At 33.4% G+C, this 20,517-nt stretch overlaps 1 pseudogene, besides 2 other annotated features; it reads left to right on the top strand.

Annotated features, from left to right (window-relative positions):
* Positions 3,415-3,615: a silencer, noted in NCBI's record as "peak546 fragment used in MPRA reporter construct". NCBI's record gives its function as "represses an SCP1 promoter by STARR-seq MPRAs in K562 erythroleukemia cells {active_cell/tissue: K562}" and the evidence as "EXISTENCE:reporter gene assay evidence [ECO:0000049][PMID:32103011]".
* RNA5SP73 (RNA, 5S ribosomal pseudogene 73) lies at positions 15,505-15,612 on the top strand (annotated as a pseudogene).
* Positions 16,575-16,775: a silencer, noted in NCBI's record as "peak545 fragment used in MPRA reporter construct". NCBI's record gives its function as "represses an SCP1 promoter by STARR-seq MPRAs in K562 erythroleukemia cells {active_cell/tissue: K562}" and the evidence as "EXISTENCE:reporter gene assay evidence [ECO:0000049][PMID:32103011]".

The following is a 20,517-nucleotide window of genomic DNA, read 5'->3' as shown; positions in this document are numbered from 1 at the left end:
ACAATGGATTTCCAGATCTGAGGAAGATAAACATTATTAAAGTGTGTTGTCAAATGTAAGCAGAAGTAACCCAAGCAGTGAGTGAGGAAGTCAATCGGCCCTGGAAATACTTTGAAGTCTAAGCTGGAGAAACTGTGGAGGAAGGTAGAGAGAGAGGGTAAATAAGGGAAAATTGGAGCTGAGAAGGAATGAATTAATAGAATGTTGTTTTTTTTAACATACAATTGATTCTTCAGCCTCCATGAATAGTGGAGGCAATCTAGGGTCTAACCACAGGGGGAACTTATTATTGTTTAACCTGTGGTTAAACACTAACTAGCCTGCACTGGGGAATCAAATAAGGTGTACTAAGAGTGGTAAATAAGTTGCTTGTAAATTGTGAACTTTCACTATTATGGGTGCTATATTAATACATTACAGGAAATAAAGCCTTTCTAAATTCACCACTTTTCTGCCGCATTCTTTTCAGGTGCACACTTTATTCAAATATCTGGTTATTTAGTCCTTGCAAAATGTTTATTTTTATAGCTTTTAAAAAAATCATTGAGCCAGGAAATTTTGGAAACATATTGGAGAAAGGCCACATTGGCAGAAGAGGTTGAAATGAACAGAAAAAAAAAAAAGGAAATTGAGAGGCAATATCACCTAAACAATTTATATAAAAATCTTTGAAAAAATATGTCCAAATATCATTCTATTTAAACGAAATTAGAACAGAATGTCATTCATTACTTCTTCCCTAGCCTCTCCATTGATTGACCAGTGGTCTAGGGATATTACAGCTGTGATGTGAGAGATGAAGTCTAAACAAAGCTCATCAATTTCACTTAATGGCTTAGGCTAAATTTCACTAAGCACAGCGAATAAGATTGTTGACTCTATCAGGCCTGCTGTGGTGGATCAGTGGAGAGGTAGACATTTTTCTTATATACTTTTCTTTATTTTGCATTATCTCTTTTTCCTTAAAATATACTTATCAAATGCCTAAAAGTATTGTCCTAGATTTGCCTCTCTTCAAGGAATGCAGAGTGGAACAATAGGGGAAATACACTATGCTCATGAGACTCTTCCTATTTTATTTTTTAACCATCAATCTTTGGAGACCATGTTGTGAAGTTGGGGTACAGTCATTGCAATGTCATAAGGTACTATTTGAGTGCATAATCCAACAGCATATTTAAAGTTATACATTTGGGCAGAATTTTTGTGTGCATTGTATGCATCTTATTCCAAGAAACTCAGTCCTGTACCTACTACCTAAATATTTGTATTATTTAACCATGCCTTCCCAGATCAGTTCATTTTTCTGGACTATTAAGGTGACCAAGAAAAAAAAAACATTCTTTAGAGGTATAAAGCCAATTATATTCTCTCTTTTGAGAATTTAAACTAAGAGACATAGAAATGAGGAGTTGAGTAACTGGGGCAATATTACTTGTAGGACACTAGTGGAATGATCCTCTCAAAGGTCCCCAGAGGGAACTTAATTCTGTCCCTCTTTTGGCTAAGTTTCTGTAGTTTGGCTGTAATTTGATGAATTCTTACAGCTTTTCTTCACTTACCTCTCCATTCAAGTTTATCTGAGCTGATTCTGTTCTATACCACCAGATGTGTCTGGTAAAATGCCATTCACATAAAAATAGGTCAAAACAAAAAAAAACACTAAACAAAAGCAAGCTATAAAGTACTCACAATATTAGTGAAATTCCAGAGGTTATATGTCATATTTTGAAGATACAAATTATATACTGCTAAGTTTCCAGAATCTAATACTTAAGATTCCACTTATATAAGCATAAACAGTCCCAAATCCAGTTTACCGACTGCTGTGTTTCCCACTTATTATGCTCCATAAATGGAGCATAAATCTCCATTTATGCTAGGAGCTTCAAAGTACTCACGAGTGTCTTCTTTGTTAACAAAGTCCAGCCCAATCCTATTCCATTGTGATAGTTGCGGCTGAAAGAAATTTCTCCTCTAAAGTAATTTATCTTGGTGTACTAGTTATGGTATGTAGATACTAAAGTGAATTCCCCTGATCTTTCAGCCATCATGAGTTTTAAGATGGTACGTAGCCCCAGTGGTAGCAATTAATCCGGAACAGGTTGACTCTGTGTTTAGTATTGTGCTTAATGATAAGTCAAACTGGCCAGGACCCTTCTATTTAAAACCCTTCTTTCATCTTTTGTCTGTCCTTTTCTATAATGCCAATGCTGGCAGAGATCTGTGCTACAGGGGTGCTAGGTAACTCGTTGTACTGCTGTTGGGGCTACACACAAAAATGAGAGCAAACAAGTTTCTTTAATAGAAATACAGGCAGTAAAGGTAACATGCATAGGGTGAATCCTTACCAAAAGGTCATATTCAGTAGGTGGTATCAGAAACTAGCTTTCTCTGCTTAGAATGCCACAAATGAGGCCTCAGTCCTTGGCTGAAGAATAATTTTTTTCTTCCTTTGTCTGACTTTATTCACTAAATATAATGATTGTATGTTTCATTAATGTTATGTGGCAACAGTTTATTCCACTTTATTGTTAAGTAATATTCCACTGTATGTGCTGCACTTTGTGTATCTACTCATCTGCTGATGGACTTTGGTTTGTTTCCAGTTGTTGGCTATTACAAATAAAGCTGTATCTATCACGCTAGTTTTTGTTTAGATGTACATTTTTTGTTTCTCTCAGGTAAATACCTAAAAGGAAAAAGCGGATTGCTCTGCTAAGTGCCTATTCATTTGCCAAACTGTCTCATAGTGATTGTACCATTTTACATTTCTACCAGCAGGGGATGCCAGTTGTAGTTACTCACATCTTTGCCAAAATTTAATTGGTCAGTCTTTTCAATTTTAGCTATTCTAATGGATGTGTTGTAATTATTTTTAAAATTCACACTCAGCAGTAAGTCTCAAGATATTGCTTCAGGAATAATTATTTACAAGAAACTTTGACATGCGTAGGAATTAATGGCCTGCCCACTACCTCTCCAATTCTTGTTGCAAAGGATCAACTGGAGTCACTTCAGCTGGAGGGAAAGGGGCTTGCAACTATGGGGAAGGTGCAACAACAATAGCCACTTGACTTTTCATCTCACCTCTGAGGTCAGAAGCAGCAATTAGAACATAAATCCCTGCCTGGCGCGGTGGCTCACTCCTGTAATCCAAGCACTTTGGGAGGCCGAGGCGGGTGGATCACGAGGCCAGGAGATCGAGACCATCCTGGCTAACACGGTGAAACCCCGTCTCTACTAAAAATACAAAAAATTAGCCGGGCGCGATGGCGGGCGCCTGCAGTCCCAGCTACTCGGGAGGCTGAGGCAGGAGAATGGCGTGAACCCGAGAGGCGGAGCTTGCAGTGAGTCGAGATAGCGCCACTGCAGTCCAGCCTGGGCGAAAGAGCGAGACTCCGTCAAAAAAAAAAAAAAAAAAAAAAAAAAAAAGAACATAAATTCCTGATATTAGGAAGACAAGGTTCTTATTGCCTACTCTGCCTCCCACAGCTGTGTAAGCTGCTCCAGGAACACATGCACCGCTGCCTCTCATAGGGCTGGGAGAGGGAGATAGGTAGTTTCTCCTATGCTAGGAGATAAAATGGACTGACATTAACTGCAATTTATAATCCAAGCCCTCCCCTGAAAGTTGCAAGTCTTCAATAGATTCCAGAATTCTAAAAAGTTACAGCAGACAGATTCTGCCAATGCAGTTGGGCTAGTTGGGAAGAGAGATTCCTAATGCTTCCTACTTAGCCACCTTCCCCAAATTCTCTCTCTAGAGCATTTTGAATAGTAAAGTTCTATTTATGTATCTTTAATCTTAAATATGTAAATGAAAATTAAGGTTCTTGCAAAGACAGCAGCTGGGGGAAACCAACGGGAAAATATCCAATAAATGACCAAGATTTAATCAGATAAATGCATGTTAATTAATTGGCTACTATCTTGGTATCAATTATTAAGAACTAGAGGAATGTTTTCAAAATGATTCTGAGCAGAGGGACAATAGTGATTTCCACTAAAGAGCAGTTTCATAGCCATGATGGAGAAATACGAAAATGCCTTATATAACGTGAAGAGTTTAAAAAAAGCTATACTCATAGGCAATTCTGCAAGGGGAAGTATTAAGTACTAAGTTATCAAGAACACATAGCAAAGGAAATGAGAACCTGACCCTCAGCCTTGAAAATAAAGCTCTCCATAAGTAGGAAGCTAGTTAGCTGAATTGCCTGTGCTATTCCTACTCTGGACCACTCTGGGGATTCTTGGGCAATGTTTTGTGGACTGTCCTTGTCAGGCTTAGATCAAAAGCAAATAAAGTATAGGGGCCAAGGGAAAACTTTTTTACCCTCTGAAGTTTTCTTGAAAAATAAACATACAAATGGCAGATTAATAGAAGAAATGGCATACAAATTTATTAGCATGCACATGGGAAATCACAAGGTGATTTTTCAATATCAGTACAGATGCTCATATACCTCTCCTCTTAGGGGAAAAGAATATAGGGAAGTGTGGATGATTTTAGGGGAATAGTACAGTAAAGGATTATTAAAATAATTCATTGGAGTTAAAGAACATATGATGAACCAGGACAACATTTGTGGGGCACACAGAGCAGACAGTGACTAGTGACAAAAATTTGTCCAAGTTTGTTGATACTCCTCATTCTAATCTATAATATGAGTTTAACTAATGAAAACTCAAGCAAGAGACAAGAGATAAGTGTTCTCTTCTTTGGCAGTTCCTGACTTTAGGCAGATAAGAAAACTTCCAGGAAAAACTTCATCCTGTGCTTTGGGGGAGACAATGGAATGAGAGACAGGAATGGTGGAGAGTAGGACAGATCTTGAGGGTCTTCAGTTATCATGTCAAAGTGCCATATTTTGAGTATCAGTGTCTGTGCCCCAACATTAGCTGTTCTGAAATTATTGCTTCCTTTAATTATTTTTTTCTATTTTTCCCAGACTTGAGAAGCCATACCTTCTACAGGTGATTACCACTAAGCTCTAAAATAAGAATAGTGATATACATAGTGCCAATTTTGCTAGTCACAATTTCTTGCCCATATGGAACTACAGAAAGAAATGGAAAAATAAACTATTCTCCCACGTCGTATAATATCTAAGAAAAGTGGCAAAGGAAGAATCTAGAGATTACTTAACATCCTAATTTTTAAGAACAATTAAGATAAATCACACTGTTAAAAAGCAAATTTAACTTTTGTTAATCTGGAATAAATGTGATAGAAATTAGATACATTGGTTTATTATATCCTCTTTGTTCCCATTACATAAAGGTTAAATATATGCTGATGGGAAGACATATGAATAATTTAGCTCTACAAATAAATTTTTTAAAACAATAGTAAGATGGTTTCAACTTATTTTAGGATAAGATAAACAAGCCCCTTGTGGAATTATGTGAATAAGATTTCTAGGAATATAAAAAATTTCAAACTAATTGGAAACAAAGCATCAGGATCTTACTAATTTGATTGCTAAGACACGAGTGTGGGATCAAAGAAGTAAAATGTGAACAGTACTCCTCAATACAAGTAGCTTCATTTAGAAAAGGAGATAATAACCAAAAAAGAATATTTATCACTGGCAGCTTGTGATTAATATTTCATTTACAGTGTTCCTTGCATTTAAATCTCCTCCATTACTCGCACTTATAAGCCTTCTTCGTGCTGTCATCACCTTTCATATCCTCCCCACTGTTAAGAAATATGTGACTGAGATAACTGCATCATATCCCACAAATGCTGCGGTCTGTTAAACTGAGAGAGCAATATTCAGTAGTGCACTGATGCTGACACAGATTTTACTAAGAACAATTTCACCTGGGGATAACTCTCTTCACCTAGCTATCGAAGCCAGCATTACTGAAATATAGGTAGCAACAATGCAATTATTAAGAATTGAACCATAATCCCCTCTCGGAGTCCCATAGAGGTAAATGTTCGAGTGTTTCAAGGACATTTTAGAGAGTCTCAATTTACTCATGGCAGGTAAATTGTAGTTAAGAAACCAGTTATGTATACTGCTACCATGTGGAAGACAGATGAGCCACTTCACAATGCATTTCACTCAGCTTGTGGTTCATGATGATCTTATTTTTATTATGTAAGAGAAGCATCACAATTTAATGAATGCCAGCTACATATTTTAACATATTCCCAGCCACAAATACCATCTATCACATTTGAGATTCTGCTTGGCAGTTTTAGAATTATTCAAAATGTAGCAAACATAATTGCAAGAATTATTAAGATCTATATGAGGAGGATTTTCAGAGTCTCCGAACTTCCTTTTGGCTTTTGATTTCAAAATATTTCCTAGCAAGTGAACTACTCCATGATCTATTTTCAATTGTTCCAACAGCAAAAAAAAAAAATTATAACATATGTAGATGATGTCAGACATACAATAATGTACTTGCATTTAACATTACATTCTTATTGCAATACCACAGATGTCATGTAAATATGTGGCATTAAGAGAGTTGGTTATATTTTGGCTCTTTTTTACATGCCCCCCATCCCTTTTCCCTTCAATCCTATGATTTCAGAAAATAGAACAAATCAAAGTATTAGTTTCAAATATTTTTTAAATTCCAGTAAAAATTAATTGAATTAGTTTTCCCCCTCTTACATAGGTATAATTTTAATAGAAGTTTATTAGTCTGTATATGAAGAAAAATATTGTTTAGAAAAATTTCAAATAAATTAAGCCTAGAAAAAACACATTTAAATATGTTAAAAGATTTTTATATATGGTTTTTCAATTTTATTATCATTATTATTATTAATTTTTTTCATAGAGACAGGATCTCCCTATATTGCCCAGGCTAGTCTCGAACTCCTGGGCTGAACCAATCCTCCTGCCTCAGCCTCCCAAAGTCAATTTAATCTTTTAGTAAATATTTTTCTTTAAACTTAAAAATAAAATTTATGAAAAAATTATAGTGTCTATGAGATTAATACTACATAAAGTAATTTTCTACAAGTATTCAAGAAAAGAAAGTACAATGAAAGTATGTAGCTTTATTTCCTTGGCAGTGAGACACATTTTAAATAAACTATATGCAAGTCACTGTAACAGACATGGTGGAGATTTCAATTCAGTTCAACAAAAAATACTATCTCTTACATCCCAGGTATTTTGTAAGCCAGAAGTAAATGATGAATATTACCTAAGAACTTCACACAAAAAGTTAAAGTCCTACTGGGGATACAAATAATTAACAAAGTAATGGAAATGCAGTCTGGTAACTGCAGTAATGGAGGGGTGCTCAACTTAGGTTAAGTGAATAAGGAAATGTTCCCAGAATACTGGATATTAAGATTGGCTGTGTCTGAAACAGCTCCTTTCTATAAGGTGTTTATAGCGTACATATAATTATAGTATAGGTATAACATAGATATAATTCACTCATCTCCCAAAAATGCTTTTTAAATCACTGTATCACTTTTAAAATGTTGTATATATTATATGTGTTAGTAAAACTATAGAAATAAATTCCTTTTCTGTGTCCAAAATAATAAAGTTCAAACTACTAGCATCTGTGAAAAAACATTCAAATATAATTGCAAGATTAAATATTGTATGAATAGTAATACATTTTTGTGTGAGTATACTTGAAAGAACTCAATTTAAACTGTATCCTCCAAAACAAATAATACTTTTTTATGTTTTATAAAAGAAGATCTAATAGAGTGAAATTTAAACACAAGAATGAGCTAAACATAATGAGATTTGAAATAACATCTGGATGATATGAAATATTTATAGGGCAAAATTTAATCAAAAAAAGGTTGAAAAAATATTTCAAGCATAGAATGTATGTGGAAATGAAAGAGTATACTTTACTTTTTTTTGTAGTTGGCATATTACAATTAGGTATAAATTATAATCTGAATTTGCACATGTTAGTAAAGCAGCAAACCTAGCAAGTACTATAACACATGGAGGGAAAAGTTCTAAACACTTTCAGCATTCTAAAAAGTACACGATATTTAAATAGTATTAAAATTTTAATAAGATTGAAATATGCTTTTAAAACTCTTTGAAATATATCAATATAGGGAGAATATAGAGTTTATCGATACCCATCTTTCAGGAATTCAACTACAGAGACAGCTTTGTAGCCATTAAGAAAATAAAATAGAGAAAGTGTGGAACTTTTTGCTAATGTATTTGACTACTAAATAGGTCATATTTGCCAAACAAAACAGACATTAAGGATAATAAGAAGTTTCTGGAATAAATTCACCGAACTCAATAAATTTTATCCAAGGCTGTCTCCTGTGTTCTTGTGATTGTCTGGGGCCAAGTGGTGGCAGCAGTTACTAAAATTATTGCCATCTGCAAGTTGGAACTGCTGCTGCAAATTCTGAGAGCCTGAAGCTTTCCATAAGCTCTTTTTCCTAAACGTTTGATTCTTTACCCTGCCATAAGTCACAGTTTTGTCCTGGTTGTGATAATGTTCTTTTTCTGACTGTCCATCAAAGGAAAAAGAAAAAGAGTGGCAATTACTTACTTTCATCTCTTGATTTTTATGCTATGCTATAACCACCAAAAATAAAAAAGGAAAGGAGAAAGAACTAAAGAAAGGAGTAATAAAGACATCAGTTATTACATGAAAAAGGAATCAAAGAAAAATATTTATATATGGATATTTTATGTGATTAGTCTCTTTGCATAATTTGGTGAAGTTAGATACATAATCAAAACTATCCATTACAGAAATTATCTTCCTTTTTTTACTGAGACTATAAACTTGTTTTATATGATATTGTAACAGAGTTTCTTTATTGTTTTATATGATGATATAACAGAGTTACTTGGTTGTATATAAGCAAAGACTTTATTAAAAAAAAAAAAAGTGCCAATTCCAGGCACAGTGGTTCACACTCATGCCTGTAATTCCAGAATCTTGGGAGACCAAGGCAGGAAGATAACTTGAGCCAGGAGTTCGAGGCCAGCTGGGCAACACATTGAGGCTCTGTATGTACCAAAAAAAAAAAAAAAAAAAAGAAAAAAGAAAAAAGCTGGGCATGGACACTCAAGAGGCTAAGGTAAGAGGATTGCTTGAGCCCCAAAATTCGAGGCTGCAGTGAGCTATGATAACGCCATAGCACTCCAGCTTGGGTGACAGAGAGATCCTGCCTCTATTAAAAAAAAATTATGACAATTAAAAACAATACATGCCAATCCTCAAGCCTCAAGCTCATTAAAAAGACAATTTGGGTCATGTGAGCAGGCAAGCTTTCTTAAATTTTACTGATTTAGAAAATACATATTTATTCACTCCATAAACACTTTTGAGTGTCAATATATGTCAACCATTTTTCTCAATAAACAAGACATGCATGCTTTCTCTCGCCATGCAACTTACAATTTAGTGGAAGAGAAACAGTGAAGACAGTAAATAAAACAGGTATTGTGATGACTGCTCTGAAGGAAACACAGGAAGAAATGGATCATAACAGAGATTCTAACTTATATAGGAAGGTCAGAGAGGGATTCTCTCTCAAGCTGAATTGCTGAGACATAAAGAGTGTGAAAGTTCTAGAAGGAGAGAGAGATCCCAGAGTTGCATGGCTGACACATCAAAGAGACACAGGACACCATACCACAGCCTCATCAAAAACTGGGGTAAGGACTTGGTAGAGTTAGAGCCAAATGTTGTGATTATAGCAATAATGTTACCATTTACCGACTCTTTGTTATGTGACAGAACTTAATTAAAGTAACTTAATTCTCATAAGAACCCTATGGGGCAGGTTTTATTAATAAACTCATTTTATAGAAGGAGACCTGAAGGCTTAGAGAGATAAGGAACTGCCTCAAAATCACCCAATTAGTTAACATGGAGCCAGCTTCATACTTGACTAGAGCATATACTTGTTCTTACTAAGTTATCTTATTACCACCTAACTTACTTTTACTGGGCACTAGTTTAACAACAAGGACCATGGTAAATCCTTTGAAATACAGGAAGTTTTAAATGTTTAGAACAATCACCTGAGATAAACAGTTTTATTTTAAAATCCCATTTTGCAGATCAGGGAGCTACAATCTAGAGATGCTAAGTAATCTTTTTCAAAGTTATTCAGATAACAAGAAGCAAAGACAGGATTTCAACAAGGGTAAATGTTGGGGACTCCTACCGGCACAAGAAGGACAGCTAATTTTTTTTTCTTTACCCACAAAATTAATTAGCTTTTTTAAAATTAGGGTCTGGGACAACACTGGGGGTCCAGAAATTCCTTTTCAACAGCTATTTCTTCTTTCAGAATATTATCTATTCTCATTCCTTTTCTCTACTAAAGAGTTTTTTTCTTTACCTCCAGTACACTGGAAGATCATATTCATTCTTAACATTTGCCAGATTACCGAATAGTTTTTCAAGAGAACAGCAAGACAGAAACTAAAATATGTTTAGCTACAGGGATTCTCTCAACATTTCTGTATTACAATGCAGGGCACAACAGTGTCATGTTGTATAAAGATTATTTCTTCCTGATGCAACCATGAGGATTGAAAGAGAGGACAACTACCTACAAAAGAAAAACATTAAGAGAATACTACAACACTAGAAAAGTGTTCACTTTAAGATTCTTTATATGCCCAATATCCTTTGTCATTTAAAAAACAAAAATTATAAAACAAAACATTGAGAAAATATCATCAACACATATTAAATATACTTCAGGGTTAAGGAAAATATATAAAATTTAATGTAAAAAATATAGATCATTTCCCACATACTCTAGGCAAGGACATTTAGCATTAAATCATATATTAATGTAAAATAGAGCCCCTTAAGCATCAAGTAGAATGTCAATTACCATTTTCTTCTGATTCACTTCACTTAATTCAAGTCAGTCTTTTTCCCTGTAAAAATAAAATGTAGACAGTCTCCTACTTATAATAGTTTGACTTAACGATTTTTTGATGTCATGGTAGTGTGAAAGCAACACAGTAGAAACCATAATTTGAGTAATCATGTAAACATTCTGTTTTTCACACTCAGTACAATACTCAATAAACTATATAAAATATTAAACACTTTATAATAAAATAAGCTTCCTGTTAAGATGATTTTGCCCAACTTCAGGATAATGTAACTATTCTGAGCATAATTAAAGTAGTCTAGGTTAAGCTAACCTTCAGGTTTAATAGGTTAGGAGCATTAAATACATTTTTTATTTATGATATTTTCAAATTACAATGAGTTTGTTTCGATATACCATGGCTTATTAAGATGTAACTCAATATATATAGTATATATAAATATATATACATATGTGTGTATATATATGTAAGGATTCAACATATATTGATTATTTTCTATTTATCTATGTCTTGACTAATTGCATGATAAAAATGATACAAACTTAAAATAAATTTTGAAATTATCTATCAATTACAACTTTCTCACATTACCTATGCATATTTTGAAGCCCAGAAATTTGATTTCCCAAGGTCATAGAGCTAATTGACAGGATAGCTGGGATCAGAAATCAAGTACTACTAAAGATTTGGTTTTTTGGTAAGAGCAGAGGTTCTCAATTTGGAGTGATTTTGTCTTTTATGGGGTATTGGCAATATCTAGAGACATTTTCAGTGATCCCAAATAAGTTTTAGTGAATAAAGGCCACAGATACTGCAAAACATTCTACAGTGCACAGCACAGTCCCGCACATCAGTGACTCCTCAGCCAAAAATGGCAAACATGCCAAGGTGACGAATCACTTTGTTAGATAAAATTATTTATTTTTTCTTTTATATATTGGATTACTTCAAGAAGCAGTGTCAGTTAAAAAATTAAAAGCATTATATTCATTAAAATTAAATGTGAATAATATATTTAATTTAAATTATTTATTACATGCTGCTCTTCCATTTGGCATGTGGCAAAAACTTAAAATTACTCAATAAAATATAGCAATTCCATGTCAAATATAATGAATTGAAATGATATTTTAGGGTAAAACATACCAAAGTACTTTTATTTTAGATTTAAAATACACTAACATACATATACTTTTACAACACTTAATTTTTTGTTGTGTTGTTGTCGTCTAATTTTTATTCATTTATTTTTAAATTTCAACTTTTATTTTAGATATAGGAGGTAATGAGCAGAGTTGCCACATGAAAATATTACATGATGCTGAGGTTTGGAGCATGGATCCCATCGCCCAGGTAGTGAGCACAGTAACCAATATGCAGTTCTTCAACCCAACCCACAGCCCCTCCATTCTTTCCCGATATTGTAGTCTGCTGTGTCTGTTGTTCCCATGTTTATGTCCATGTATGCTCAATGCTTAGCTCTCATTTACAGGTAGAACATGCAGCATTTGGTTTTCTGTTCCTATGTTCATTCACTTAGAAATACGGCCTGCAGATGCATCCATGTCACTGCAAAGGACAGGATTTGGTTGTTTTTTTATGGCTGTATAGTATTCCATGGTCTATATGTACCACGTTTTCTTTATCCATCCACCAATCACTGGGCACCTAGCTTGATTCCATGTCTTTGCTATTGTAAATGGCGCTGCAGTGAACATGCAAGTACATATGTCATTTTGGTAGAATAATCTTGATACGGTTAGGCTTTGTGTCCCCACCAAAATCTCACCTTGAATTATAATCCCCGTAATCTTCATAATCTCCATGTGACTCCCCACAATCTCCATGAACTTTTCCTGTGCATTAAGTATTTGGCCAACTCTTTGGCACAAGAGGCCTAGTTTTGGCATGTCTTGCTTTACAGCATGCCTTCCTCACTAAGTTTAACCATTCCTAGCTTTTGATTTAAAGTGAGAGACATGTGACTCTTCCTTTCACTTGAACACTTTGATGCCATTATAAGGCTAATAACCTAATTTCAATCTTACTGAGTCTAATGGAACAGGGAGGCCAAAGGAGAAGAGATATGGGGGAATGGACAGTCAGAGAAGCAGTCAGAACACACAAAAACATTACTGATTGAGTTTACCATCTTATATGGGCAAATTACATGGGGCCCCAAATCACTTATGCTAATAACATAAAAGATCACTAATCACAGATTACCATAACAGTTATAATAATACTAAAAGTTTGAAGTATTGCAAGAATTACCAAAATATAACACAGTGACATGAAGTGAGCACATGCTGTTGGAAAAATAGCACTGAAAGACTTGTTTGACACAGGTTGCCACAAACCTTCATTTTGTAAAAAACACAATATCAGAGAAACATAATGAAGATAAATGAAATAAAATGAGATATTCCTGTAGTTTAAAAGTAGCCCAGGTAATTCATAGAAATTTGAAAATTAAGAATATCTCACCTACAGAAAAAATTAAAACCACAAAATCAAATAAAATTCTAACACATTGGCGAAATTGAACTCTTATTCACTGACAAACCTTAGTAACACTATTTTTAGTACCAGCAACCCATTAAATACACAATTTCAAATTGTGATGAGTACTATGGTAGTAATATAGTGGATTATGAGAAAATAAAGCAGCATAAACTCATTTTCATATTTGGATTGTGATTAATTAAAGCCTTTCTCTCTTAAAAATATTTCCATTTAAATTAGAAGGTAAAGTTGTTAATATTTTAAAGTATAGATGAAATAATTTTTACTCGGGAGAAGCAAGATGTATCAAGTCCCCGAGCAGGTTTTTTATACAGATGTTCTGAGAAAAAGTCCACTGTGGCTAGACATTGAAAGTAAGGTGAGAAAGTAGTCAGGAGGAAAGTAGGTTCCATATCATGTATAACTAAAATGTATTTAATAGGTTTACAGACTATGATTGAGCCAATTTATGTTTAAAATTATTATTCTGTATACTCTGTAGAGAATGGATTGTAGCTAGGTAGGTATAATAGTGGAAAGACTAATAAGAAGATAATTAACCAGTGTAGGGCAGTGGTAATAGTGGCTTGACCTAGATTGGTAACAGGGTGAAAAAGAGTGAAAGAAAGTGGGCTCAGATAAGCATAGGAGGTAAAATCAACAGGATTTGGTGAGATGAATTTGATATGAAAGATAAGAGAGAAAATAAATACTTAGATTTCTAAAAAGTGAATAAATGGAATAAACGTAATACACTTTTTTTGGTCTAGTAGAATATTAGATGCTTCAATATGAGGCAGAGTGAATTGTTAAAATTATTCTTAGTTTTCTGACTTAATAAGTGGAGAGAAGAGTCATTTTAAAACCTGGGAAAAATTGGAGAAAGTGCTTATTTATAAGATGTATCAGTAATACAGTTTTGATAATGATGTATTTGAAATATCTGTATAGCATTCAAGTAGAGATTTTTGAGTCACTTAAATATATATGTCTGAAGCTGATAAAAATATTTATGGCATGAGATGTTTGCCTTGTTATGTAGAGAATATTTAAATCTCTGGCTGAGATTCCATGTTGAGAGGAAAAGGAGACCTAGATAAAAGCCTTGAATAACTTCAATGTTTAAATCAGAATATGGACAAATAGCAAGTAAAAGAAATGTTGAAGAAAACAGAGATGTATATAAAAAAACAAGAGAATGTGATGTAATGGAAACTAGGAAAGGGTAAGTAAGAGGGAGATCACAAAGTATTGATTTGATTTGACAACAAGAAGCTTATTCATAAAATTATCTAGCAGAAATTCAAGTCGAGTGGTGAGGAAAGAAGCCACATCCAGATCCAAGTTTGAGGAATAAATAGAACACGAGCAGATAGAAACAGAATATAGAATTACTTTTTCATAAAGCTTGACTCTGAAGGGTAAAAAAGAAACAGGATATTAAATGGAAGGAGCTACAGTTTCAAAGAGAGTTTATGATGGCAGATAAAGATTATACAAGGTGGGGGAAAATTCTACTTTGTAAGACATATAGGACAATAAACACATCAAGTTTTCTGAGAACACAAATGTGGTTAGGATACTGTGTATATGGGAAGGTATGGCTTTTTATAGAAGAATGGATAGTGTCTCCATTATAGAAGAACAGAAGAAGATGAATGAAGATGTAAGGAAATTTTCAGTTTTGGTCATGAGAAAGTAAAAGTGGTTTTATTTGCTGCCTATAATATTCTATATGAATTATACCCACAATTCATACAGAGTGGGGTCTGGGGGAATACAAAGAGTAAAACAGGCAGAAAGTGGTAGTTGATGAGAATTGGAGAAAAAATTTAGGAGAGAAATTTAGTAAGATAAAGTAGGTCATGTTGATCGCCCACTACAAAGAGTTACTACAATGTGTAGGGATGCCAATCAATCAAACTATGTAATTTGCATAGTGCAGCATTTAGTGGGTAGGGTACTGGATGAAGAAAATCATTGGTTGCATTCAGCAATAGTTAGGTTTTGCCAGGTGGGTGTCATGAGACATCCACAATATGTTAAAATTATTTAGGATATTTATAGTATTAGCTCATGGAAACCAAGTTGTGTGTGGTGGGAAGTAAAGCCCGAGAAGTCTAAAGGCAAACATAGAGAAGGATGTTTGTTCTACTGGCATACCACTCTGAACGTGTCTGATCTTGGAAGCTAAGCAGTGTCGGGCATGGTTAGTAATTGGAAGGGAGAGGGATGTTTGATCTGGCAATTGCTGAAGCAATGAGTTTTCAAGGTCTCAAAGTCTAAACAAGAAAGTGAGTGGTAATGTTAGATTGGAGAGGTCATTTGAAATGAAGTCAAGGAACTAAAAATGCAAGAAAATATACTAGCATCCTCTTTTTTTCTGGTGATTACTTCCCATACCCGTGGCTCAAGCAGAAGCTATCATGTTTACACAATGTGACTTCATCTCTTGGTCTTAGTTGAAAGATACAGGGATAGCACCTGATCTAAATTTAGGTTAATTAGTTCATTTCCCAAGATTTTGAGCCTGAGCTCAGTCAAAGTCTTTATAATGACTTGAAACATAAGATAAGAACTTTTAAGTTGCCAATGGGCATTTTCTTCCCATGTGGTGCAGATAAGATAATCAAAGACTAATTTTATTAAGCAAGATACAAAGAATAAAGCATACCCACAGAGAGAAGAAAATGAGCGACAAAGAGTCCTGTTTCAGTGAATGTCTATTCTTGGACTTCATATAGTAATAACCTTATAATGAACTGAAGTTTTAATTAAATTTGCATCTAAGAGAGTCTGAAATACTATACTACTATTAATATCAATCTTCCCAAAAGGCACTAAATTTATATATCGTGACCTGAACATAAAATAGAAAAATATTCTAGAGAATACTCTTGATGACTGTTTCATTTTTCTTTGCTTACTCTTCTGCGATGTTGTCTTCTTTTGTACATTTGAAAAGAGCTGGCCAGGCACGGTGGCTCACGCCTGTAATCCTAGCACTTTGGGATGCCAAGGCGGGTGGATCATGAGGTCAGGAGATCGAGACCATCCTGGCTAACATGGTGAAACCCCGTCTCTACTAAAAATACAAAAAAAAAAAAAAAAAAAAATTAGCCAGGCGCAGTGGCAGGAGTCTGTAGTCCCAGCTACTCGGGAGGCTGCGGCAGGAGAATGGTGTGAACCCGGGAGGCAGAGCTTGCAGTGAGCCGAGATAGCGCCACTGCACTCCAGCCTGGGCGAAAGAGTGAGACTCCTTTAGAAAAAAAAGAAAAGAGCTGTGAGTTTTTCAAGGTTCATTTTTTGACAGCAGGTCTATGTATTTTGGAAATGAATATTAAACTCTGATTTTATCTTAGATGTTGTGAAATATGAAGACAATATCTTAAAATGACAAAATGGTATTTTGAAATGTGCTTATATTACATAGGTTCTTCTATAAATATAAATCAAAATTGACAGCTGAGTTTGCTTGCTTTTTCGTTTTGTTAAAAATGTTATCCTTATTTTTCCTGATATGCCTGAAATGTGCTAATAACCCAGTTGCTGTTGATGTTCTAAGAAGAGAGAAATTAAGAAACAGAGAAGTATAGTTGAGAAAATTATAACACATGTACTCTCATAATGACACCATAAAAAGATCCACACATTTTTCTAGTATCTGACATTATTTTTAAATGTACAGGGATTAGAGCTGAGGTGGGTGGACAATCTGCTCATAATCAGATAACCTGTGAAACAAATTGGTTATGTGCTAACCCTAAGGCAGAATTCACATTTAGTTATGCATTTGAATGATTACAGTTGAAAAGATTCACACATAAAACTGCTAAATAATATTTTCCCCCAAGGCAATGATTTTCTTAGTAAATAGAAAATAATACTTTTTGAACGATAGTTCCAACTTTCTTGTGAGCAAAGTACATAGAATATATATCTTCTACTTTATTAAAATTTACAGTATTATTAACAAATATACTAATCTTTTAATTACTATATTTGTACATTAGATTTGATGTCTTGTATATATTTTTCAAAAGATTATGTGTAGGTTTTTCATAACTAAAAAGTAAAGTATTTGTAGAAAAATTTAAAAAAAATTGGAGGGTATAGTCTCAAAATAAAACAAACAAGTAAAACAATCAAATATATAACTTATTTCTATTTTCTGCATGTTGGCTACAGATTTATCATTATAAATATAGAGGTAAGTTTCTCATTTTGGATAGAAGATTTAGCATCATAATTTCCTTGTATTTTAAATTAAAAATAACTTTAAGCATTATAACAATATAATAAATTCTATTGTAGTTGAACATCAGTAGTCAGTAAACTTACTTACTTCCACTTACTTAAAGCCCTGATGTAAGCACAGTTACTTAAAACATTGATGAAAGTCAGTTTTCGTCTATGGTCACCTCGTTAAAAACAACAACATAGTTTTTCTTAAACAACCAGAAAAATCCAAATCTTTAATTATAACACAGGAGAAAGTAAAGCAGAAAAAAAGTTAACAGTATTTGGTCAATATCTGATGATTTTCACAAATAATTTTAATTTTTTCAGGATAATGCAAAAGTACATTTCAGAAAGTCAAATTAGCAAGAATATGAGTTATTCCCTTCAATATATCATTTTAAAAGTTCAAGTAAGCACCTAGTAATAAAATATAAATATCCTACATGCTCCAAAAAAATGTAAAATTATATTAGAGATTACAAAAGAATCTTTTAGGAAATAATTCCAAACAAAAACATTCATATTTTATCTTCAGGATAATATTCAATAATACTTTTTTTCTGGTTTGAGTTTACTAATTATTTTGCATGATGCCTTACAAAACTGAGTACCTTTGCAAGGACATGAATAGAGCTGGAAGCCATTATCCTGAGCAAACTAATGCAGGAAAACCAAACACCTCATCTTCTCACTTATAAGTGGGAACCGAACGATGAGAACACATAGAAACCGGGAGGAGAACAACACACACCAGGGCCTTTCGGGGAAAGGGGTTGGGGGAGGGAGAGCATCAGGATACATAGCTAATGCATGCTGGACTTAATACCTAGGTGATGGGTTGATAGGTGCAGCAAACTACCAAGGCACACATTTACCTATGTAATAAAGCTGGATATCCTGCACATGTACCCCAGAACTTAAAATAAAAATAAAATGGGTATCTTAATATTCTTAAAAATTCTAGATCATTTTTAGATCCCATAAATGTGTGAGAATATTTGAAGCTTGTCTTTCTGTGACTGGCTTATTTCAGTTAATGTAATAAATACCTATAGAGAAAATAAACTGACTATATTCCACCTCTTAATGAAAACAGCACCAACAGTCAAATGTATATATCCTAATAATTTCTCCATATTTTAAAACTCTTCTATAAATTAATGACTTTAATTATAATGTTAATTGATGCTAAAAAATTATCTATTTTATAAAATTATTATATACACTTAAAATATTTATGTAAAAAATTCTAGAAAAAAGTTCTGATTGCATTTTACAAAATGCATACATGTTTAGAAAATATCAACTGTGTTGACTATTAGATCTGAACACCCATATCTACTTCTTATGTAAGATATTTTTTCTGTAGGAAAAATTATCAACTAAATAATATGTATTCCTTATAAAGTATGACTAAAACAGTATCAGGAGAGAATCTGAATACATAGATAGTAAAGTGAGTAATTAATTATATTTACTTTATGAAATTAGTGTTATATATAAAGTTTTGGTGCCGTGAAAGAAATAGCACTCGAATATAAAATTTTTGTTTTAATTCTCAGCAAGGCAAGGTACTTCTATAGAAGGGTGTGCCCTTACAGATGGAGCAACGGTGAGGGCACACTTGGACTAGGGAGAAGGGGTTCTTATCCCTGATGCACATGGCCCTTGCTGCTGTGTCTTTCCCCTACTGGATAGTGTTAGATGCACAGGCTAAACTAATTCCAATTGGCTAATTTAAAGTGAGTGACAGGATGAGTGGTTTGGCGGGAAAAATGGTTATGACAGAGGAGGTAATCGGAATGAGTCAGTGTGGAGTATGTAATCTGAATGAGTCAGGGTGTAGCAGGTAATCAAAAAAGGTTGCTTTAAGAGGAAGTTAAGTTTAAAAGTAGAAGGCAAAGAATTGAACATACTTACATATTGATTCTTTGGAAAGAAATTTAGAACTCATATCTAACATTAGTAAGAAGTTTATCATTTTGTTTCTATACATATTTTATTTTTCAGAAAATAAAAATCAGAGTAGTTCTTCAATTAACGATGATCTAATACTAAACTGAGAATGAGAAAGTTCAGCTTTCAACCATCTGTTGGATGTTGGAGAATACACTCAATTTCTACTTGGATTTCCACAGCTACAAAATGTTGAAATTGGTCACATATACAAGCATGTTTTTTGTCTACATTTTTTCTATGATTTCACAGACAACATCTTGAAATTTGGAGCATAGACTTAAGTGATCTGTTGTCGCTTGCAAATAGCAAGAAACTTCTTTTATTTTCATATACCTGTTATTCACTCTATCAATAAATCAAACATCTGTTTTAATTATATGACTGTCCAAAGAAGATACATATTAAATGTTTGTGGAAGACAATAATTTTTGTGTAATATATTAAACTTATCCAGGGAAATTTTATTACATGTTAATAAATTCTTTTTAATTATTAAAATTTTATTAAATAATTTACTTCAAACTAAGTATACTTTTTTTACTAGTCTAAATGCCATATTGTTTTTTTAAATTGAAATTCTCATAATCCTGTACCCTTTACCTAACATTGCTAAACAATTGTTCAAATCTTACTAGATGGATATCAGACTGCATAATCAAAATTTTAGTGTTAATAAAATAAAACTTAAACACTATAATTATTTCACTCTTAAAGTTGAATATAAAATATATAATTTATAGATTTTCACTTGAACATTTATTAACATGTATTTTATTAATACTTTAAAAAGTTGTTTAGGAAAGCTAATGTGTTAACACAAATATAAAAACTCAAAACTGTAAGAGACATAAGCTATTTTACATTCCAAGCTCTCACAGTAATAATAAGCAAAGAGATAATGATAATGATAACTATTATTTGTGTTTGTTTGTTGGCTGGTATGCAAATATAATGGCTATGT

Source organism: Homo sapiens, chromosome 1, assembly GCF_000001405.40.
Source record: "Homo sapiens chromosome 1, GRCh38.p14 Primary Assembly".
NCBI classification, from domain to species: Eukaryota; Metazoa; Chordata; class Mammalia; order Primates; family Hominidae; genus Homo; species Homo sapiens.
Note: the sequence above shows the minus strand (reverse complement) of the source record. Positions and strands in the feature narration are given on the sequence as shown.